At 40.5% G+C, this 24922-nt stretch overlaps 1 long non-coding RNA gene across 1 annotated transcript in view; it reads left to right on the top strand.

Annotated features, from left to right (window-relative positions):
* Window positions 1-21979, top strand: part of LOC107985161 (uncharacterized) — a 39761-nt gene extending 17782 nt beyond the window's left edge. The window contains exon 3 of the long non-coding RNA XR_001753365.2: window positions 21720-21979. This is a non-coding gene — a long non-coding RNA (uncharacterized LOC107985161). The remainder of the gene's footprint in view (window positions 1-21719) is intronic.
* The last annotated feature ends 2943 nt before the right edge of the window (window positions 21980-24922 follow it).

The raw sequence follows: 24922 nt of genomic DNA, 5'->3' as shown, positions 1-24922 counted from the left end.
CATTTTTTTATTCAAGTAGAATTTCTTATAGCCAGCCTTTTACCTATACCTTCCTACTTTAGATTCCTAATTAGCCCTCATTTTTAGATGAAACAAAATTGTGATATTTCTTCCTACACACGGTGCACAGCATCTCATACAGACTGGTCTCTTATGACATTGTGATGGCTTATTGGTCTAAAAGGATGCTCTCTCCCTAGTCTATTCATTCCTTAAAGGAAGGTGAGATGGTTAATTTTATATGATGGCTTGACTGGGATACGAGATGCCCAGGCAGCTGGTTAAGCATTATTTCTGGGTGTGTATGAGGGTATATCTGGAGAGATTAGCATTGGAATAAGTGGACTCAACGAAGCAGATGGCCTTCCCCATTGTGGGTGGGCATCAGCTAATCTGTTGAGGACCTGAATAGAACAAAATTGTGGTGGAAGGTTGAATTCACTCTCTGACTCCTTAGGCTAGGACATTGATCTTCCCCTGCCATCAGTGCTCCTGATTCTCAGGCCTTCGAATCTGGTCTGGAATCTACATCACCGTCTTACTGGCACTCAGGATCTTTGAACTACACCACTGGCTCTCCTGGGTTTCCAGCTAGTAGATGGCAGATCATGGGACTTCTCAGTGCCCATAATCACATAAGCCAATTCCTTATAATACATTTCTTCAGCCAGGTGCAGTGGCTCACGCCTGTAATCCCAACACTTTGGGAGGCCAAGGTGGGCAGATAACCTGAGGTCGGGAGATGGAGACCAGCCTGACCAACATGGAGAAACCCCGTCTCCACTAAAAATAGAAAAATTAGCCGTGCATGGTGGCACATGCCTGTATGCCCAGCTACCCGGGAGGCTGAGGCAGGAGAATCACTGGAACCCTGGAGGCAGAGGCTGTGGTGAGCCAAGATCCTGCCACTGCATTCCAGCCTGGGCGACAGAGCGAGACTCCATCTCAAAAAACAAAAAACAAAAAACAACGGTCGGGTGCAGTGGCTCATGCCTGCAATCCCAGCACTTTGGGAGGCCGAGGCGGGCAGATCACAAGGTCAGGAGTTCGAGATCAGCCTGGCCAATATGGTGAAGCCCCGTTTCTACTAAAAAAATATAAAAATTAGCCGGACATGGTGGCATGTGCCTGTAGTCTCAGCTACTCGGGAGGCTGAGGCAGAAGAATCGCTTGAACCCAGGAAGCGGAGGTTGCAGTGAGTCGAGATAGTGCCACTGCACTCTAGCCTGGGCGACAGAGTGAGACTTTGTCTCAAAAAAAAAAAAAAATTACATTTCTTCTTATATGGATTCACAAAGATATATTCTATTGGCTCTGTTTCTCTGAAGAACCCTGACTAATACAGTAGGAAACATATCTTTTCATCATTGTATAGTCCCAGTCTTAGCACAGGTCTGATTTGTTGAGATCCATACAATGTCAGCAGAATAGAAATCCATTTTCTTTCACATTCCAACAGGAAAGTCAGACATCTTAACCAATCAATTGGGATAAAATGTGACACATATTATAGTAGAAATATAATACAATAAATTCCATGGGAGCACAAAGAAGGGAATGGTTATTTCTTCCTAGAGATCAGGATTAAGATATATAGAGGAGGTAACATTTGACCTGGCCTTGGGACCTTAAAAAAAGTTCACCAAGTGGATGTTCTAGAAGAGATAACAGTATAAGCAAAGAAAAGAAGATTTAAAAGTACTTAGCATGGCATTGGAATTCTGATTCCAGCCAAGATGGAGTAACAGGAAACAGATTTATCCTCCCACCTGAAACAACTGGAAAAAAAAAAAAAACAGACAAAATATATGAAACAATGGTTTGAAGATATTAGACATGGGTAACAGAGGACAGTGATCGGTGCAAGATGGAAAACAAGTAAGATGAGCCCTATGATTATCCCAGTTTACCTAGAGAGAGTTTCCTAGCCATGGCTCAGGATGAGGGAACTTAGTCAGACAGAGCCCATTGGTCTTCCTGAGTGGAGGAGACTCTCTGATCTGAGAGTCTCAGGAGGCCAGGATTGTAGAGTTTACAAAGAAAAGTACTGGGGCTGCAAAGAGAAGGAACTCCAGGGCACAATGGCTCACACCCGAATCCCAGCACTTTGGGAGGCCAAAGTGGGTGGATCACTTGAGGCCAGGAGTTTGAGGTCAGCCTGGGCAATATGGCGAAACTATGCCTCTACTAAAAATACAAAAATTAGCCAGGCGTCGTGGTGAGCACCTGTAATCCCAGCTACTCGGGAGGCTGAGGCATGAGAATTGCTTGAACCCTGGAGGCAGAGGTTGCAGTGAGCTGAAATCGTGCCACTGTACTCCAGCCTGGGTGACAGAATGAGACTCTGTCAAAAAAAAAAAAAAAAAAAAAAGGCCGAGCGCTGTGGCTCATGCCTATAATCCCAGCACTTTGGGAGGCCGAGGTGAGTGGATCACGAGGTCAGGAGATCGGATCAGCCTGACCAACATGGTGAAACCCCGTCTCTACTAAAAGTACAAAAATTAGTCCAGAGTGGTGGTGTGTGCCTGTAGTCCCAGCTACTCAGGAGGCGGAGGCAGGAGAATCGCTTGAATCTGGGAGGTGGAGGTTGCAGTGAGCCAAGATCGCACCACTGCACTCCAACCTGGGCGACAGAGCGAGACTCTGTCTCAAAAGAAAAAAAGAAAAGAAAAGAAAAGAAAAAGAAGAGAAAAAAGAAAAAAGAAGGGAAGATATAATTATTATCTCTATTAAAGAAAAAAAAAAAGAAGTCAGGAGTTTGAGACCAGCCTGGCCAACATGGTGAAACCCCGTCTCTACTAAAAGTACAAAAATTGGCTGGGTGTGGTGGTGGGTGCCTGTAATCCCAGCTACTTGGGAGGCTGAGGCAGGAGAATTGCTTGAACCCAGGAAGTGGTGGTTGCAGTGAGCCAAAACTGTGCCACTGAACTCCAGCCTGGGTGACAGAGCGAGGCTCCATCTCAAAAAAAAAAAAAAAAAAAAAAAAAAAAAATCAGAAAGAATTCCAGAGACCTGAAGAGATTCCCCCTGGAGTATTTAGACTGAGCACGGAATAACACATGCTGTACAGAAACTACCTGAGGCTGGGGAAAGAGCAACAAAAAAATTAGAAGGAATAATTCTTAGAACTAATACATTGGTGGAAATACTTTCCTTTCCAATAGCCACAGTGGAAAACCCCATAACTCACAGAGGATTGGACAGAAAGATTTTGCCTGAAGAGTGGGGCAAAATTAGCTCTAGACTCAATGCTGCTCTAGTCCCATCTAACAAAGCTCTAAAGCAAGAACCATGTATTAGTTTTTTATTACTGCATAACAAATTGTTACAAATTTAGCCACTTAAAACAACACAAAATTTGTCTCAGACTTCCTGTGGGTCAGGAGTCCAGGTATGGGCTATCTGGTTCCTCTGCTCAGGGCCTCAACAAGTTGAAATCAAGGTGTGGCCAGGGTGGTGATTCTTATCTGAGGCTTGGAGTCCTCTACCAAATCATTCAATTCTTTACAGAATCCACTTCCTTGCAGTTGTAGAATGAAGGTCCCTGTTTTCTTTTTCTTTTTTTTTTGAGAGGGAGTCTCGCTCTGTCACCCAAGCTGGAGTGCAGTGGTCAATCTCGGCTCACTGCAACCTTCGCCTCCCAGGTTCAAGAGATTCTCCTGCCTCAGACTCTCGAGTAGCTGGGATTACAGGCGTGTGCCACTATGCCTGACTAATTTTTTGTATTTTTAGTAGAGACAGGGTTTTGCCATGTTGGCCAAGCTGGTCTTGAACTCCTGGCCTCAAGTGATCTGCCTGCCTCAGCCTCCCAAAGTTCTGGGATTACAGGCATGAGCCACCATGTGCCCGGCCTCTCTGATGCTTCTTGTAAAGGCTCCTCTGGTTTTGTCAGGCCTACCCAGGATGGTGTCTCACCGCCAAAGGTGTGTAGAGGAAAGATTTAACACAATTGCATTTAAAACAGGGGAAGTTAAGCAGATATAAACAAAAAGCATGGTTTTTAAACGTTATTTGAATAGTCAGTTGTCAACATGGGTAAACTGTGATAAACTGTATATATATAAAATATAATGCCCAGAGTAACCACTAAAAAGCTATTCCTGGAGGGAGGCTTCAAGATGGCTGACTAGAAGAGCCTGGCACTTGCCTCCTCCACCAAAAAGTACCCGAACACTAAGCAGATAATTACACACTGAACAGATTTCCTAAGAGAGAACAGTGGAATTCAGCAGGGAAATGACAGGGAATCTCTGAGGCATGCAAAGAGAGGGAAATGAAGCAGCCAGCCCAACTGGGATCTGCCTGGAGCCAGGAAGACGTCTCCTTTGTGGGGAAAAGGTAAGTGAGAGGTCTCCAAAGGTCCAAATTCCCACTATTGACTCCTGCAATCCTAGCCACAGGAAATTCCCTTGGCCCTGATGGGCCCTGAGACTAGTATAGGTAGCTGTCTGGAGTTCACATGACAGGATTGTTCCAGAGGGAGAGTTCATGCTGGGTCTCACACACTCCCTGAAACCCAAGCAGCCGCAGCATGGTACGATGTTGAGCACACAGTCCATGCCAGATTACATCCTGTCCTGGGGCCCAGCAGCCCCTGTATCTTCATATCCCGAAGCCTGCCCCCGAAGCCTTGGTTGACATCCCTCCATGTCCACCGAGAGGGCTGTAGCATCATGACACTGGCAGAACCCAGCAGTGCTGTTGGGTCCCTAGCCTCCTAGCCCATGCAGTGTCCTAAACCCTAGGGCATGGGCAGTACAGTGCATGAAGGAGACTGGCCCCAGGATAAAGGAAGCTGAAGCATGTGTTCCCCAGAGCCTGAGAGCCACCTGTTCAGGGCCACTAACCTTGACAGCAATGCCATTCCCTCCAGCAACAAGGCTGCGTGAACCTTCAGGGGGCCTGGAGACTGCCTTACCCAGGCTCTGTTTTGGGGCCTGAGGACAAGTCCACACTACCCACTGCCACCTATGCCTGAAGATGTTTTCTGAGGGCCTAAGGACAGGTCCACTCCACCTGCCAGTGCTGGCGTGGTGCCCATACACACCATCAGGTGACCTGATGATAAACACATCCTGCCTACCTCTGCCAGCATCTGTACATGACATCTGGGAGCGTGGGGATCAACCCACACTCCTTACTACCACAAGCACCCACATGCACGATCCAAGGGCCTGAGGACAGAGCTGCCTCACCCACTGCTGCCACTGCCAGTGCCCATAAGTATCATCCAGTGGCCTGGGGATTGACCCACCCCATCTACCACTGCCAGTGCTTTCACATGCCTTTCCAGGGCCTAAAGACAGTCCCAGCCCATTCACCACCACTGCCTGTGTGCACTGTCTGGGGTCCTGGGGATAGGCCGCTTGGTGACCATGCACACCTCTTGGGGACCCAGGAACTGGCCCACCTAGCCTGCAGCCACCATCACCAGCAGCACCCACCCACATGTGCCACTTGGGGGCTTGGGGACTGGCCCACCCAGTCCAGCACTGCCACCATTGGCACACCACGCGTACTTCTCAGGGGCCTGAGGGTTAGCCTGCCATCACTGCTGCCATGACTGATGCCATGCATACTACCCAGTAGCCTGAGGATCCATCCACCTGCCTACCCCACCACTGCCACCATTGTCACCAAAGCAAGCTGCGTGGAACCCCAAGGACTGGCCCACCCATGACTGCCACTACTAGTGCCCACGTATGCCAGCCAGCTGTGATGCTTGGGCCACTGACACTACCACTGATACCTGAGGACTAGACCACCTGGCATCCCCATCTTCAGCAAAGCGTTACCACAGCCTTTATTAACCACAGCCCGAATCACTGAGGAACTCAAAGATGCCACTGACACTGATCATAGCCATAGAAATCATATGGAAGCTATACTACCGCACCCACCAAGAATCAAAGCCAAAGCACCCTACCCAACCAACATTATAGATACATCTGTAGGAAAAAGTTTTTTCTTATAAAAGAAAATCGATAAAATTGAAAGAAGAAACTGTTACACCAGATGTGCAGATATCAATGTAAGGACAAAAGAAACATGAAAAAGCAAGGAAATGTGACCCCTCCCGAGGAAAACAATAATTCTCAGCCAGGAATGGTGGCCTATAATCCCAGCACTTTGGGAAGCCAAGGTGGGAAGATCACTTGAGCCCAGGAGTTCAAGACCACCTAGAGAGAGTTTCCTAGCCATGGCTCAGGATGAGGGAACTTAGTCAGACAGAGCCCATTGGTCTTCCTGAGTGGAGGAGACTCTCTGATCTGAGAGTCTCAGGAGGCCAGGATTGTAGAGTTTACAAAGAAAAGTACTGGGGCTGCAAAGAGAAGGAACTCCAGGGCACAATGGCTCACACCCGAATCCCAGCACTTTGGGAGGCCAAAGTGGGTGGATCACTTGAGGCCAGGAGTTTGAGGTCAGCCTGGGCAATATGGCGAAACTATGCCTCTACTAAAAATACAAAAATTAGCCAGGCGTCGTGGTGAGCACCTGTAATCCCAGCTACTCGGGAGGCTGAGGCATGAGAATTGCTTGAACCCTGGAGGCAGAGGTTGCAGTGAGCTGAAATCGTGCCACTGTACTCCAGCCTGGGTGACAGAATGAGACTCTGTCAAAAAAAAGAAAGAACAAAAATTCTCTAGTAATCCCAACGAAAAGGAAATTTATAAAATACTTGAAAAAGAATTCAAAATAATGATATTAAAGAAACATTGAGATACAAGAGAACATAGATAAACAATACAAAGAAATGAAGTAAACAATTAATGATCTAAATGAGAGATTGAACAAATAAATGGATATCATGAAAAAGAACCAAACAGAAATCTTGGAACTAAAGAGTTTAATGAATGAAATAAAAAATACAACTAAGTGCTTCAACAATAGATTAGATTATGCAGAAAAATTTAAAGAATTTCTAACCTTGAAGACAGTTTTTTTTTTTAAATAACCTAGTCAAGAAGAAGAAGAAATGAAGAAAGCCTACATGACATCACATACGAGACATTATAAAGTGACCAAATATTTTAATTTTGGAGGTTCCAAAAAGAGAAGAGATAGGCAAAGTCATAGAAAACCCATTTAATGAAATAATAGCTGAAACTTCCCAAGTCAAGCAAGAGATCTAGACATCTAGATACAGAAAGCTCAAATATCTCCAGATAGATTCAATCCCCAAAGGTCTTCTCTAAGGCATATTATAGTCAAACTGTCAAAAGTCAAAGACAAAGAAAGGATTCTAAAAAGAGCAAGAGAAAAGCATCAAGTTACATATAAGGGAATCCTTATTAGACTAACTGGATTTCTAAGCAAAAACCTTACAGGCTAAGAGAGAATGGGATGATATACTCAAAGTGCTGAAAGAGGCCAGGTGCAGTGGCTCACGCCTGTAATCCCAGCACTTTGGGAAGCCGAGATGGGAAAGAAAGTCAAGAAAGAAAGATTGGATTTAAACTGGACTTTAGACCAAATGGACCTAACAGACATTTAGAGAACATTTTATCCTATAGCTGCAGAACCTTCTTCTCATCAGCACATGGAACATTTTCCAAGATAAAGCATATTTTAGGCCGCAAAACAAGTCTCAACAAATTTTTAAAATCAAAATCACAGCAATCATATCAAGCATCTTCTCAGATCACAATGGAATAAAAATAGAAACCAATTAAAAGCTGACCTTTGAAAAGTGTACAAATAATGGAAATTAAATGACATGTTCCTGAACAGAAGTCAAAAAATTTCTTGAAACAAATGAAAATGGAAACACAACATACCAAAGCCTATGGGATACATTAAAAGTAGCACTAAGAACAGGTAACAATAAATACCTTTTTGATGTAGGCAGCAATAAATACCTACATCAAAAAAGTAAAAAGGTTTCACATAAACAACCAACAATGCACCTCAAGGGGCTAGAAAAGCAAGAACAAACCAAACCCCAAATTATAAGAAGGAAAGAAATAATAAAGATCAGAGAAAAACTAAACCACATAGAGACTAAAAACCAATACAAAGGATCAATGAAATTAAAAGTTGTTTTTTTGAAAAAATAAGTAAAATCGATAAGCTGTTAGCTAGACTAACCAAGACAAGAAAGAATTTCCAAATAAATAAAATCAGAAACAAAAAAGGAGGCATTATAACTGATACCACAAAAATACAAAGGATCATTAAACTATTATGAATAACTATATGGTAATAAATTGGAAAATCGATGGGAAATGAATAAATTCCTGAACACATACAACCTATCAAGATTCAACCAGGAAGAAATAGAAAACCTGAAAAATCCAATAACAAGTAACAAGATTGAATTAGTAATAAAAAGTCTACCAAAGTTATGAAAATTTTACCAAAGTTATAAAAAATTAACAACAATTTTTCTCAAAGTATTCCAAAAACTTGAAGAGGAGGTAGTTCTCTTCCTAACTCATTCACAAGACCAGCATTACCCAGGCACTAAAACCAGACAGGGACACAATAACAAAAAACTACAAGCCAATATTCCTGATGAACGTAGATGCAAACACCCTCAACAAAATACTAGCAAACCAAATCCAACAACACATTAAAAAGATGATACACCAGGATTGAGTGAGATTTATCCCAGGGATGCAAGGATGATATGCAAATCAATGCATTATCAATACATATGCAAATCAATAACTGTGATACATCACATCAAAAGAATGAAGGACAAAAGCCATATGATCATCTCAGTAGACACAGAAAAGGCCTTGATAAAATTCAACATCCCTTCATGATAAAAACTCTCAACAAATTAGGCATAGAAAGAACATACCTCAAAATAATAAAGGTCATATATGACAAACTCACAGCTAACATCGTGCTGAATGGGAAAAAGCTGAAAGCCTTTCCATCAAGAACTGAAACAAGACAAAAATGTCCACTTTCACTACATTTATTCAACATAGTATTTTAAGTCCTTGCCAGAGTAATCAAGCAAGAGAAAGAAATAAAAGTCAACCAAATTGGAAAAGAGGAAGTCAAATTGCCTCTTTGCAGAAAACATGATCTTATATATAGAAAAATCCAAAGACTCCACCAAAAACTCTTTTGAGCTGATGAACAAATTCAGTACAGTTGCAGAATACAAAATCAGCACACTAGAATCAGTAGCATTTCTTTTCTTTTTTTTTTTTTTTGAGACAGAGTCTCACTCTGTCACCCAGGCTGGAGTGCAGTGGCCCAATCTCAGCTCACTGCAACCTCTGCTTCCTGGGTTCAAGTGATTCTACTGCCTCAGCCTCCTGAGTAGCTGGGATTACAGACACGCGGCACCACGCCCAGCTAATTTTTGTATTTTTAGTTGAGACGGGGTTTTGCCATGGTTGCCACGCTGGTCTTGAACTCCTGACCTCAGGTGATCCACCCTCCTCGGCCTCTCAAAGTGCTGGGATTACAGGCGTGAGCCACCGTGCCTCGCCAAGAATCAGTAGCATTTCTATACACCAATAATGAACTAGCTATAAAAGAAATCAAGAAGGCAGCCCCATTTACAATAGCTGAAACAAAAATTAAGTAGCTAGGAATAAATTTAACCAAGGAGGTTAAAGACCTCTACAATGAAAATTATAGAACACTAATGAAAACAATTAAAAAGGACACATGCTCATGGAATGGGAGAATTAATATTGTTAAAATAATCATATTACCCAAAGCAATTTACAATTCAATGTAATCACCATCAAAATACCAATGATATTCTTCACAGAAATAGAAACAACAATCCTAAAATTTGTATGGAGCCCAAATAGCCAAAGCAATACTAAGTAAAAAGAATAAAGCTGGAGGCATCATATTACCTGACTTAAAAATATACTACAAGTCTATAGTAACCAAATCAGCATGGTGCTGGCATTAAAAACAGACACATAAACCAATGGAACAGAATAGAAAATCCAGAAAATCCACACATTTACAGTCAACTAATTTTTGACAAAGGCACGAAGAACCTTCAATGGGGAAAAGATACCCTCTTTAATACATGGTGCTGGGAAAACTGGATATCCATATGCAGAAAAATGAAAGTAGATTCCCTGTCTCTCACCATATAAAAAAATAAAAATGGATTTTAATGTACAACATGACACTGTAAAACTACTAGAAGAAAGCATAGGGAAAATGCTTCAGGATATTGATCTAGGCAAAAATTTTGTGACTAAGACTTCAAAACTATAGGCAACAGAAACAAAAATAGACAAATGAGACTATATTAAGTAAAACAGTTCTGAATAGCAAATAAATAGTCAACAGAGTGAAAAGACATCCTGTAGAATGGGAGAAAATATTTGCAAACTATTTATCTGACAAGGGATTAATATCCAGAATATACAAGGAACTCGAACAACTCAACAGCAAAATAACAACATATAATAATAATAATTTAATTAAAAAGAGGCAAAGGATCTGAATAGACATTTCTCAAAGGAAGACATACAAATAGCCAACAGGTATATAAAAAATGCTCAATATTACTAATCATCAGATAAATGCAAATCAAAATCACAATGACATATAATCTCACCCAGGTTAAAAAGTCAAAAAGTAACAAATGCTGGCTAGTGTGTGAAGAAAAGGGAATTTTTTTTTTTTTGAGACTGAGTCTCGCTCTGTCGCCCAGGCTGGAGTGCAATGGCACCGTCTTGGCTCACTGCAACCTCTGCCTTCCCAGTTCAAGTGATTCTCCTGCCTCAGCCTCCCTAGTAGCTGGGATTACAGGCATGCACCACCATGCCTGGCTAATTTTTGTATTTTTAGTAGAGATGGGGTTTCCCCATGTTGGCCAGGGTGGTCTTGAACTGCTGACCTCGTGATCTGCCCGCCTCAGCCTCCCAAAGTGCTGGGATTACAGGTGTGAGCCACTGCACCTGGCCAGAAAAGAGAATTCTTATACACTGTTGGTGGGAATGCAAATTCGTACAGTTACTATGGAAAACAATATGGAGGTTTCTCAAAAAAACTAAAAATAGAACTACATATGATCCAGCAATCTCGCTACTGGATATTTATCAAAGGAAAGGAAATCAGTATGTCAAAGGGATAACTGTACCCCCACGTTTATTGCAGCACTATTCATAATAGCTGAGATATAGATTCAACCTAAGTGTTCATCAACAGATAAATGGATAAAGAAAATGTGATATATATATACACAATGAAATGCCATTTAGCCATAAAAAGAATGTAATCTTATTATTTGCAGCAACATGGATAATCATTATGTTAAATGAAATAAGCCAGGGTGAGAAAGATAAATATCACATGTTCTTACTCATATATGGATGCTAAAAATGTTAATATCATGGATGTAGAGAGTAGTATGATAGTTCCAGAGGCTGGGAAAAGTGGAGAAGGGTATGAAGAGATGGTTGATGGGTACAAACATACCATTAGATAGAAAGAATAAGCTCTACTGTTCAATAGCACAGTAAGGTGACTATAGTTAATAATATGTTGTATATTTCAAAATAGCTAGAAGAACAGATTTGAAATGTTCTTAGCTCAAAGAAACAGTAAGTGCTTAAGGCGATGGATATCCTGCACACCCTGATTTGATCATTACATATCGTATACATGATCAAAATATCACATGTACCCCACAGATAAGTGCAACTATTATGTATCAAAAATTAATTTTAAAAAGCGATTTCTTCATCTGGGACTAAACATACCACAGATAAATAAAAATGGAATTTTAAAAAATGTTCAAGTAACCTATAGGGAAAGAATTAAAAAAGAGAAACAAAAATAAAAATAAACAAAAAATAAAATGGTAGATTTAAGTCCTAAAATAACAGTAATTACATTAAATGTAAATGAACCAAAACACCAGTGAAGACTCACTATAAAGCTACAATAATCAGGACAGGTTGGTACTGGTGAAAGAACAGACAGATAGATAAACAGAAGAGAACAGAGAGCCCAGAAATAATCCTTATAGTCAGCTGATCTTTGACAAAGGAGCAAAGACAATTCCATAAAGAAAGAATAGTCTTTTCAACAAATGGTGCTGAAACAGCTGAATATTCACATGTTAAAAAAAAAGAGTGTAAACATGTATCTTACATCTTTCACAAACTTAAAATGGATCAAAGACTGCCAGGCGTGGTGGCTCACGCCTGTAATCCTAGCACTTTGGGAGGCCGAGGCGGGCAGATCACGAGGTCAGGAAATCGAGACCATCCTGGCTAACACAGTGAAACCCCGTCTGTACTAAAAAAATACAAAAAAATTAGCGGGGCGTGGTCGTGGGCGCCTGTTGTCCCACCTACTCGGGAGGCTGAGGCAGGAGAATGGCGTGAACCCAGGAGGTGGAGCTTGCAGTGAGCCTAGATTGCGCCACTACACTCCAGCCTACGTGACAGAGCGAGACTCAGTTAAAAAAAAAAAAAGGATCAAAGGCCTAAATGTAAAACGCTAAAACTGTAAAACTCTTAGAAGATATAACAGGGCAATGGTGGTGGGGAGGGGCAGAATCTAGATGACCTTTGATATGATGATGATTTTTAGATACACCAAAAGCACAATCAACAAAGGAAATAATTGACAAAATGGACTTCACTAAAATTAATGACCCTTGCCCTGCAAAAGTATTGTTAAGAGAATGAGAAGGTAAGTCGTAAATTGAGAGAGTATCTTTGCAAAACAAATACCTGCAAAAGGACAGATATTCAAAATATACAAAGAATTATTAAAATTCAACAATAAGAAAATAAACAACTCAATTTAAAAGTGAGCAAAAGACCTGAACCAGGTGGGTATGGTGGCTTCATGCCTATAATCCCAGCACTTTGGGAGGCTGAGGCAGGTGGATCACTTCAGGCCAAGAGTTCAACACGAGCCTGGGCAACATGGTGAAACCCTGTCTCTATTAGAAAAATATGAAAATTAACCGGGCGTGGTGGCGCTCACCTGCAGTCCCAGCTACTCTGGAGGCTGAGGTGGGAGGATCGCCTGAGCCTGGGAGGTGGAGGTTGCAGTGAGCAGCGATCATGCTACTGCACTCCAGCCTTGGTGATAGAGTGAGACCCTGTCTCAAAAATCAAACAACATCTGAATGGGTACCTCACCAAAGAAGATATGCAGATGGCAAATAAACATATTAAAAGGTGCAAACATCATGTGTTATTAGGAAAATGAACATTAAAGCAACAGTGAGATACCTCTATACACCTGTTAAAGAGCCAAAATCCAAATTCACAACACCAAATGCTGGTGAGAATATGGAGCAACAGGAACTTTCATTGCTGGTGGGAAAACAAAATGGTATAGACAATTGGGAAGACAGTTTGGTAGTTTCTTATAAAGCTAAACACACTCTTACCATACAATCCAGTAACTGTGCTCCTTAGTATTTACCCAAATAGGTTGAAAACTTACGTCCACACAAAAGCTTGCACACAGATGTTTATTGCAACTTTATTCATAATTATCAAAAGTTGGAAGCAACCAAGAGATCCTTCAGTAGGTGAATGGATAAGTAAACTGGTATGTCCAGACACAGGAATATTATTCAGTGATAAAAAGAAAAAGAAGGCCAGGCCAGGTGGCTCGCGCCTGTAATCCCAGCACTTTGGGAGGCCGAGGCGGGTGGATCACCTGAGGTCAGGAGTTTCAGACCAGCCTGGCCAACATGGTGAAACCCTGTCTCTACTAAAAACACAAAAAAATTAGCCGGGCATGGTGGGGCTCCCAGCTACTTAGGAGGCTGAGGCACGAGAATCTCTTGAACCAGGAGGCGGAGGTTGCAGTGAGCCGAAATTGCGCCACTGCACTCCAGCCTGGGCGACAGAGCAAGACTCTGTCTCAAAAAAAAAAAAAAAGAAAAAGAAAAAGAAAACAGCTGGATGCAGTGGCTCATGCCTGTAATCCCAGCACTTTGGGAAGCCGAGGCAGGTGGATTGCTTGAGCTCATGAATTCAAGACCATCCAAGGCAATATGGCAAAACCCCATCTCTATAAAAGATACAAAAATCATTAGGGTGGCACCTGCAGTCCTAGCTACTTGGGAGGCTGAGATGGGAGGATCACTTGAGCCTGGGAGGCAGAGGTTGCAATGGTCCAGGATCATGCCACAGCAATCCAGCCTGGGTAATAGAGCGAGATTGTTTAAAAAAAATAAAGGGAAATCAACTATTGAAAAACAAAAACAAACAAAAAAATTGAGGAGGCTGGGCACGGTGGCTCAGGCCTGTAATCCCAGCACTCTGGAAGGCCGAGGCGGGTGGATCACCTGAGGTCAGGAGTTTGAGACCAGCCTGACCAACATGGAGAAACCCCGCCTCTACTAAAACTATAAAATTAGTCGGCCATGGTGGTGCATGCCTATAATCCCAGCTACTCGGGAGGCTGAGGCAGGAGAGTTGCTTGAACCTGGGAGGCAGAGGTTGTGGTGAGCCGAGATGGCTCCATTGCACTCCAGCCTGGGCAACAAGAGCAAAACCCCATCTCAAAAAAAAAAAAAAAAGTATATATAGATAGATAGAGATAGAGAGAGGAAACTTAAATGCATATTACTAAGCAAAAGAAGCCAACAATCTAAAAAGGCTACATACTATTTGATTTCAATTATACGACATCCTGGAAAAGGCAAAACTATGGAGATAATAGAAAAGATTGACGGTTGCCAAGGGTTTGTGGGGAGGGAATAATAAATAGGCAGAGTACAGAAGATTTATAGGGCAGTGAAATTATTCTGTATGATACTAAAATGGTGGCTACATGTCATACATTTTTTAAATTCCATAGAACATAAAAAATTGAGTGAACCTTAATGTAAACTATGGCTGATGATGCGTAAATGTATGTTCATTGATTGTTAACAAATGTGCCATTCTGGTGTGGAATGTTGATAGTGGGGGAGGCTGTGTATGTTGGGGAGTGGAAGGGGTACAAGGGAACCCTCTGTACTTTTTGCTCAATTTTGTTGTGAATATAAAACTGTTCTGGCCGGGCGCGGTGGCTCATGCCTGTAATCCCAGCACTTTGGGAGGCCGACACAGGCGGATCACAAGGTCAGGAGTTCGAGACCAGCCTGGCCAATATGGTGAAACCCCATCTTAACTAAAAATACAAAAAAAATTAGCTGGGCATGGTGGCGGGCGCCTGTAATCCCAGCTACTCAGGAGGCTGAAGCAGGAGAATTGCTTGAACCCGGGAGGCGGAGGTTGTGGTGAGCCGAGATTGCACTACCGTACTCCAGCCTGGGCGACAGAGGCATACTCCATTTCAAAAATAAAATAAAATAAAAAATAAATAAAAGAGTAAAACTGCTCTAAAAAATAAAGTCTGTTAAAAAGCAAAACACAATATAAGAAGGCCAATGGAGCCACTTATAAAGGAAGCAAAACATCCAGATCAAGGGACAACCTTGTTAAATTTTAAAACAATGAGGACAAAGAAAAAAATCCTAAAATCTTCCAGAGAATTGAAAAACAAAAGCGTCAAGAATCAGAATAGGGCTGGGCACAGTGGCTCATGCCTGTGATCCCAGCACTTTGGGAGGCCAAGGTGGGTGGCTCACTTGAGGTCAGGAGGCCAACCCTCCTGGTCAGCCTGGCCAACCCAGGAGGCGGAGGTTTCAGTGAGCCGAGATCGTGCCATTGCACTCCAGCCTGGGTGACAAGAGTGAAACTCTGTCTCAAAAAAAATCAGAATAGCACTGGACTTCTCAACAGTAACCTTGGATGGTAGAAGACAATGGAGCATGCCCTCAAAAATCTGAGGGAGAATTACTTCTAAATTAACATTTTATACCCAGCCAAAGCAACAGTCAAGTGGAAGAAGAGGAAAGTAAAGATGTTTTCGATCATACAAGTTTCATAGAAAAGAGACAAAGAAAATTACCAGGCAGATGATGATTAGAGTTCACTAGGCATAATGGAAATTAGTCCAAATGGAAGTAGGAGGATAGCAGGCTTAAAGAGGGATGTCTCCAAGGAAAAGTTGAAATTTATAGATAAATCAATGTGTGTGAATTTATCAGGAAAGAAATAATATAATATAGGTATACAGAAAATTAAGCAAATAAGCAAGGCAATAATTAACTAGAAGAAAGGCAAAGAATTATGAAAAGTGCAATCATAATACACCATAAATTAGATGTGAATAATTAACACAGTTTAAATACTGTATATTGCTAACCAAAAATTATGTGCAGGGTGTATATTAATCCAGGTCCTTTAAGAAGCATATGCCAAGAAGGAATTAGATGTGAGAGAACATAAACAGGAAGCTGAGGGAGGCTTGGAGAGCCATCAGACCTCTGTGCATGCCTATGTGAGTGAAGGAGAGAAGTTTCATAGTCTGTAATCAAAATCTAAAGAAAGGTCAGCAAGCACATTGCAAAATCCTTGAACTAAAGCTATTGGCCAGAGGAGCCCTGTCTTCCAGGAATGAGCCTTCCTTAGTATGTCTGTTATACTCAGTTGTTAGTTAGGAGCAGCCTGTAGGAAGAATGGCCCCAGTGTGCATGGCAGCAATGGATTTCAGAGCCCACAGTAGACTGTCAATTATGTTCCCTGCTGTTGGAGAAATGAGAGGCACATTATCAGGGCTACTCTAGGATGGATCTAAAGACCACTATTTTTTATTTAAGCCCCATAAAGCTATTTGACCTTAAAAATTAGATAAATGTATAGTTTTAATAAAAATAAAATATTAATGGGCACCGTGGCACACGCCTGCAGTCCCAGCTACCCAGAGGCTGAATCAGTAAGATCACTTGAGCCCAGGAGTTCAAGGGTGTAGAGAGCAATGATCGTGGCTGTGAATAGCTACTGCATTCCATCCTGGGCAATATAGAAAGACCCTATCCCTTAAAATAAATGAAATAGTTCCAATCTTCCAGGTTGGTTAAAAATAAATAAATAAATGAAATGTTAAAATGTCAAAATGAATTTAAAACTGCTATTTGTGAGTCATTTAGGGTGCTTTACAGCATGTCTAAACTTGATTTCTTAGCCACACAGAGATGCTTCAGATTTTCAAAATTTTTCATACTTCTATCATGTATTATAATAGATGCTGTAGAAGGATTAATGTAGAAGAATAACATACTTCTATTAAAATAAAAGAGCCATATTCTGTCAAGGGGGCAAAAAAACACCAAAAAAATAGATATACTCATGAGGTATACAATGTGAATATATACACCATATGTTTTTTAAAATCCCTTAAAAGTATAAGTCTTTGGTGGTTTATATTTGATACCAGAGAAGGGAATATCTTCCTAGCTTCCTCTTTTAATACAATTAAAAATAATACAAATTCTTTACTTGTATATTCACACACACATGAATACACACAAACACATGGAAATTCACAGATTATGAAGTCAGAGACCCAAGTTAAAATTATGTTCTGTCGGCCGGGCGCGGTGGCTCACGCCTGTAATCCCAGCACTTTGGGAGGCCGAGGCGGGCGGATCACGAGGTCAGGAGATCGAGACCATCCTGGCTAACACGGTGAAACCCCGTCTCTACTAAAAAAATACAAAAAATTAGCCGGGCGTGGTAGCGGGCGCCTGTAGTCCCAGCTACTCGGGAGGCTGAGGCAGGGGAATGGCGTGAACCCGGGAGGCGGAGCTTGCAGTGAGCCGAGATCGCGCCACTGCACTCCAGCCTGGGCGACAGAGCGAGACTCCGTCTCAAAAAAAAAAAAAAAAAAAAAAAAAAAAAAAATTATGTTCTGTCACATATCTAGTTCCTGACATGGCACAAGTTAATTCATATTCTGAGGCTCATCATCTTTATCTGTAAAATTGAGATATGTCAGTGGATTATCTTAAGTAAAATGAGATAATCAGATAAAATCTAGAACTGTACAAGGCACATAGGCTTTACTAAATCTTGATAAATATAATAAATAGTCATTAGAATTATAAATATTAACTATTAGGATTATATTCATCCAACAACTCACTCTGATGTTTTATTCCATTTAAGTTATGAAGTTTAAAATAAATGTCTTAGTGAAATACCTATATTTGTCTTTTAATTACAAAAAACATAAAAAGTTCTTTTAATTAACATTTTAAATCTTTTGGAGTGCTTCAGTTTAAAAATCTGGTCATTAGTTTTTAATAGAGAGCAACGGAATAATGAATACTGATATCCATTCCGAAACTGGAATATGAATTCTCATATTTATAAATATGAATAGTTTGTAAACTTATGTGTTTATTTCTTCGTGTTTCTATCTTTCACAAACGCCAATCCTTCATCACTATGAATGTATTTCTTCCTGTCCCACTTGCCTGTTTAATGCAAAATGTGCAAAACTCCTATTTATTTGGAGTGCAAGCAATTGAGAAAATCAAATAACTGAAAATCTCCTACTCTTCATATTTGCAAGCAATCCACCCGCCTTGGCCTCTCAGGGTGCTGGGATTATAGGCATGAGCTACCATGCCTGGATAATAAACTATCTTAAAATATAATTTGTTTTAATTATTTTTGTCAACCTCACATACTTCAAAAAAACACATATACTTTATATACAGACTTTATTATTTCTTCTTCTTATTATTATTATTTTGGAGACGGAGTGCAGTGGCATGATCTCGGCTCACTGCAACCCCTGCCTCCCAGGTTCAAGTGATTCTCCTGCTTCAACCTGCCAAGTAGCTGGGACTACAGGCATGTGCCGCCACACCTGGCTAATTTTTTGTATTTTAGTAGAGACAGGGTTTCACCATGTTACTCAGGCTGGTCTGGAACTCCTGAGCTCAGGCAATCTGCCTGCCTCAGCCTCCCAAAGTGCTAGGATTACAGGCATGAGCCACCGCACCCAGTGCATACAGACTTTATAACTATGTTTTGCATAGACAAGTTACACAGTGAGGCTATATCTGCAACTGGCCTTGTCTGCAGCAGTGTATATATACATATATATATATCTTATATATATATACATATATATCATATATATACATATATATCTTATATATACACATATATATCTTATATATACACATATATATCTTATATATACATATATATAAGATATATACACATATATATCTTATATATACATATATATCTTATATATACACATATATATCTTATATATACATATATATCTTATATATAATATATATCTTATATATATACATATATATCTTATATATATACATATATATCTTATATATATACATATATATCTTATATATATACATATATATCTTATATATATACATATATATCTTATATATATATATTTTGAGCTACAGTGATGATTAAATATGAATTCTGAGAACTTCAACACTGGTATCTAGGGGCAATATATTTTAGAAATAGTGGAGCAAAGATTTTTACCTTCTCAAATTTAGTCTTTAAAAGATAAGATGTACCATGTATATTCGTGGAAATATTTTGTGTACTTAAAATACCTCTAAATAAACATGGCTACATAGAAAATAATGTGGATGGATTTGATCATCTTGTTGAAAATAGAAAGCAGAGGAAAAAATATAAAGGATAAAGGACTTTTAAAAATAATTTACTGAAATGCCAACTGCCTCTCTTCATAAAGGAAACAAGCAATTGGAAAGAAATATAAGCCAAATAAACATGTCAACTTTTTCAATTAAAACTAAATTATTAAGGTGATAAATCATATTGGTGCATATAAAAAACAACATTAATAACATTTACTTAGAATGTTGTAGTTTATTAAATTTTTTCCAATCAATTATCTTATTTCTCAGAACAATTCCCTGCAGGAAGCATTATAATCCACATATGCCAGAAGAGAAATTTGAGACTCAGAAGAGGTACTCCCCATTTTCATCATTTAATATTTCTGCCAAATCTCACCAAAGACAGTGTTCTCTTTCTTTAGCAGTAAGGGCTGTTTTCTGATTTGTAGCATTGGGTTTTTTTGTTTTTGTTTTTAAGTTTTTTTAGACAGGAGGCTGAGGTGGAAGGATTGTACACACACACACACAACTACCCGGGCATGGTGGCACCAGCACCTAGGGAGACTGAGGCAGGAGGAACACCTGAGCCCGAGAGGTCAAGGCTGTAGCGAGCTGTGATGGCACCACTGCACTTCAGCCTGGGCAACAGAGTAAGACCCTGTCTCTAAAATAAACAAATAAAAGTGTGTATGTGTGTGTTTTTTAAAGAAAATAACAGTCATGAATAAGTAGCGAGGGATACTATTTCCTACCCCAATTACACAGCAAGCTATGCTGGCTTATGCTGCCTTGTTAGGACTAAAAACACCCTAACAAAACTCTGCACTATCCTGAGGTCCAGAAATAGATACCAGTTGATCCTGGCTCCCTCAGGAATTTAGGATGGCATTTAGGGAGTGGGAGTGTGTGTACTCTGGCATTAGGGGTCACTCTGGTAGTCCTATTGATGTTTGCTGGGAGAACATTAGTTTCCAAGAAGTATAAGACAAGAAAGCAGGCTAGAGGTCCTAAAATGCAAGGAAAAACACAACAGAGGGTTTCATATAGGATTTCAAACTTCAATCTATGATTCCCCCTAACCGCCATAGAATGATTTCTAAAATTTTTCTCTTTTGCTAATGTGAAAATTCCTTGTATTTGGAGGTTATACGTTTCAGTCACTACACAGCTCTCCACTTGTTGTGCAAGTCAAATAGTTCTGTTTTTAGAAACATGTAAACCACTGTAGTTTCTGACTAAATTAGATTAAGATATGTGACTGGGGAATGTGAGATGGAGTACTTCCAGTTCACGAATCTGGATAGCTTATATTAAAGGAGATTTGGAAAAAGAAGTAAAGTTTGAACATCCCTTCTCCGAAGTGCTTGGTCCAAGAAATGTTTCAGATTTTGTATTTTGTATTTTTTTCAGATTTTGTAATATACACATACACATAATGAGATATCTTGGGCATAGGACCCAAATCTAAGCATAAAATTCATTTATGTTTCATATACACATTATATACATAGAATGAAGGTAATTTAATACAATATTTTATTTTATTTTATTTTTATTTTTTTGAAATGAAGTCTCACTCTATCACCCAGGCTGGAGTGCAGTGGTGCCATCTCAGCTCACTTCAACCTCCGCCTCCTGGGCTCAAGCAATTCTCCTGCCTCAGCCTCCCAAGTAGGCGGGACTACAGACACACACCACCATGCCCAGCTGATTTTTTGTATTTTTAGTACAGACAGGGTTTCTCCATGTTGGCCAGGCTGGTCTTAAACTCCTGAGCTCAGGTGATCTGCATGCCTTGGCATCCCAAAGTGCTGGGATTATAGGCAAGAGCCACCGCGCCCGGCCCAATACAATATTTTAAATAATTTTGTTCATGAAACAAAGTTGGATACACTGAACCATCAGAAATCAAAGGTGCCCCTACTGTAGCCACCCATGTGGATGATCTGTAGTGGTTTGGCGTCACCATCATTCCTGACTCTGAACTCATATGCTACCGATAAACAATCATTTTCTTACACTTATTCACACATGAGTACCTAATAGTAAAAAAAAAAAAAAGACATATCATTAATACTGAAAATGATATGACATATCACTAATGTCGAAAAAATAATGTGTGCAGGGTAACAAAACAGCACAGCAGCACCACCAGAATACTTGGATCAGCTGTTAAACAACAGCATGAAAAACAGCGGCAGGATTTCAATCTCAACCCACCATGCTGTGTTTTGACTAAAAGGTAACTGTACATTGTATTTTTTTTTTTTAGGTGAGAAGAAACATTAGAAGCAGTCAAGAGACCAGCAAGTGGGTCCTCTAGGGATGAGGAGGCATCTGAATAGACTGGGTTGTACTCCTATGTTCTGACTGCAACCCATCCATGGAGTCAAGTGTGGAATTTTCCATTTGTGGTGTCATGTCAGCACTCCAAAAGTTTCAGATTTTGGAGCACTTTGAATTTCAGATTTTCAGATTAGGAATGCTCAACCTGCATTATTATGAATAAAGAGGAACATTACATAATTAAAATGTGTAACTCATTAAAGAGGTAATAATCCTAAATGTGTGTGCACCTAACAACAGGGCTTCAAAATATATGAAACAAAAGCTAAAAGAACTAAAGGAAAAATAAAGAAATCTGCATTTATACATGTAAACATCAACACTTCTTTCTCAGAAATCAATAGAAGAATTTAATTAAAAATTAGTAGGATATAAGAGAACAATACTATCAATTAAGTTGACCATATTAGCTTTTTTTTTAACAACATTTTACCCAACATCAACAGACTACACAATCTTTCCAAATGTACATGGGACATTAACCAAAATAGACCATACTCTGGACCATAAAACAAATATTAACAAGTTTAAAGAATTAAAAGCATACACAGAATAGACAATTTCATAGAGACAGAGAATAGGCTAGTGGTTACACGAGGTTGGGGGAAATGGCATGCTATTGTTTAATGGGTACAGAGCTTCTGGTGATGATGAAAATGTTCTGGAAATAGTGATGATGGTTACACAACATTGTAAATGTGCTTAATGCAACTGAGTTGTGAACTTGAAAATGGCAAATTTTATATCATGGTTATTTAAAAAAAAGTCCACTGGGGAAAAAAATCCATATATATAATCTGTTATCTCACCAGAGCAGGATTAAACAAGAAAACAATAGAACGATATCAGGAAAATCCCCAAATATTTGGAAATTGAACCACATACTTCTAAATAAACCATGTGCCAAAGAGAATTTTCAAGGAAATTAGAAAATATTTTGAATTGAATAAAAATAAAAACAAATAAATAAAAACACATTTAAAAAAATCAAAATTTGTGGACTGCAGCCAATACTTAAAGGAAAACTTACAAAACAGAATGTATATATTAGAAAAGAACAAGTGTGTAAAAGTAATAGCCTAAGCTTTGAGCTTAAGAACCTAGAAAAAGGATGAAATAAATGCAAGCATGTAGAAAAAATAAAATAATAAATATAGCAGTGGAAATCAATAAAATTGAAAATAAGGAAATAATAAAACAATGAAATAAAAAGCTAATTCATTGAAAAGACCAGTAAAATGTATAAACCTTTAGCCAAACTGACCAAGAAAAAAGAGAGCAAAGGCAAATTACCAATATTAGGAATGAAAGAGAGGCCATCACTAGAGACACTACCAACACTATAAGGACAATAGGGGAATATAATTTAAAAATTTATTCTCAGAAATATAATAACTTAGATGAAAAACACAAATTAACAAAGCTCCCTCAAGAAGAAATGGGTAACCTGAAGAACCTTATATCTACTTTTAAAAATGAATTTATGGTTTAAAAGTTTTAATAAAGAAAATTCTAGATTTCCCCAGTGAGTTACACCAAACAGTTAAAGATATTATAACAATTCTACATAAACATAGAAAATAGTAGAGGACAGGACACTTCCCAGCTCATTGTATGAGTCTAGCACTACTGTGATAGTGAAACAAACCAAAGGAAAGGGAAAAGAAAAAAATAAGAGAGAGAGAGGAAGACACACGCACACACCCCCCACAGACATGAGAGAGAGAATATAAACATAGACACCTAAAATCTTCTAAAATGTTGGCAAATTGAATCCAGCAATTTATTAAAATAGTAACACTTAATGACAAGTTATTCAAGAAATGGGATAATGTTGGTTTAATATTTAAAATGTATTTAAAAGTCAGTGTAATTTACAATATCAACAGAATTTTAAAAATCATATGATCATCTCAATACATGAAGAAAAAACATTCATACTTTAATTTCTAAAAAGCCTACCAAACCAAGAAGGGAACTTCTCCATTTTAATAGAGGGCACATGTAGCTAACATAATGGTAAATGACTGAATGGTTTCTCCTAATATCAAAAACAAAGGAAGGATGTCCACTCTCATTGCTTCTATTCAACACTGTACTGCAAAGCCAAGCCAGTGCATTAAGACAAGAAAAAGAAATAAAATGAATACAGATAAAAAAAATAATTCTGTCTCTATTGGCTGACAACATGATCATCTAAATAAAAAACTCCAAGAAATACATAAAACATCTAGTGGAGCCTCTCCCTCCTCCCCCTCCCTCCCCCCCCCCCCCCCTCTTCTTTCTTTCTTCAGTCTCCCTCTGTTGCCGAGGCTGGACTGCACTGCCGTGATCTTGGCTGGCTGCAGCCTCCCTGCCCTGGGCTCCCATGGTTCTCCTGCCTCGGCCTGCCGAGTGCCTGGGATTGCCGTCGCGTGCCGCCATGCCTGACTGGTTTTTGTATTTTTGGAGGAGATGGGGTTTCGCCCTGTTGACCAGGCTGGTCTCTGGCTCCTGACCTCGAGTGGTCTGCCCGCCTCGGCCTCCCGGGGTGCTGGGATTGCAGACGGAGTCTCGCTCACTCAATGCTCAGTGTTGCCCAGGCTGGAGTGCAGTGGCGTGATCTTGGCTCGCTGCAACCTCCACCTTCCAGCCGCCTGCCTTGGCCTCCCAAAGTGCTAAGATTACAGCCTCTGCCCGGCTGCCACCCCATCTGGGAAGTGGGGAGCGTCTCTGCCTGGCCGCCCAACGTCTGGGAGGTGGGGAGCCCCTCTGCCCGGCCACCCCGTCTGGGAAGTGAGGAGTGCCTCTGCCCGGCCACCCCGTCTGGGAAGTGAGGAGTGCCTCGGACCGGCCGCCACCCCGTCTGGGAAGTGAAGAGCGTCTGACTGGCCACCCATTGTCTGGGATGTGAGGAGCACCTCTACCCGGCCGCCCTGTCTGGGAAGTGAGCAGTGCCTCTGCCCGGCCGCCACCCCATCTGGGATGTGAGGAGCGCCTCTGCCCGGCCGCCCCGTCTGGGAGGTGAGGGGCATCTCTGCCCGGCCGCCCTGACTGGGAAGTGAGGGGTGCCTCTGCCCAGCCACCCTTCGTCTGGGAGGTGAGGGGCGCCTCTGCCAGGCCGCCCCGTCTGGGAGGTGAGGGGCATCT

This window comes from Homo sapiens, chromosome 18, assembly GCF_000001405.40.
Source record: "Homo sapiens chromosome 18, GRCh38.p14 Primary Assembly".
NCBI classification, from domain to species: domain Eukaryota; kingdom Metazoa; phylum Chordata; class Mammalia; order Primates; family Hominidae; genus Homo; species Homo sapiens.
Note: the sequence above shows the minus strand (reverse complement) of the source record. Positions and strands in the feature narration are given on the sequence as shown.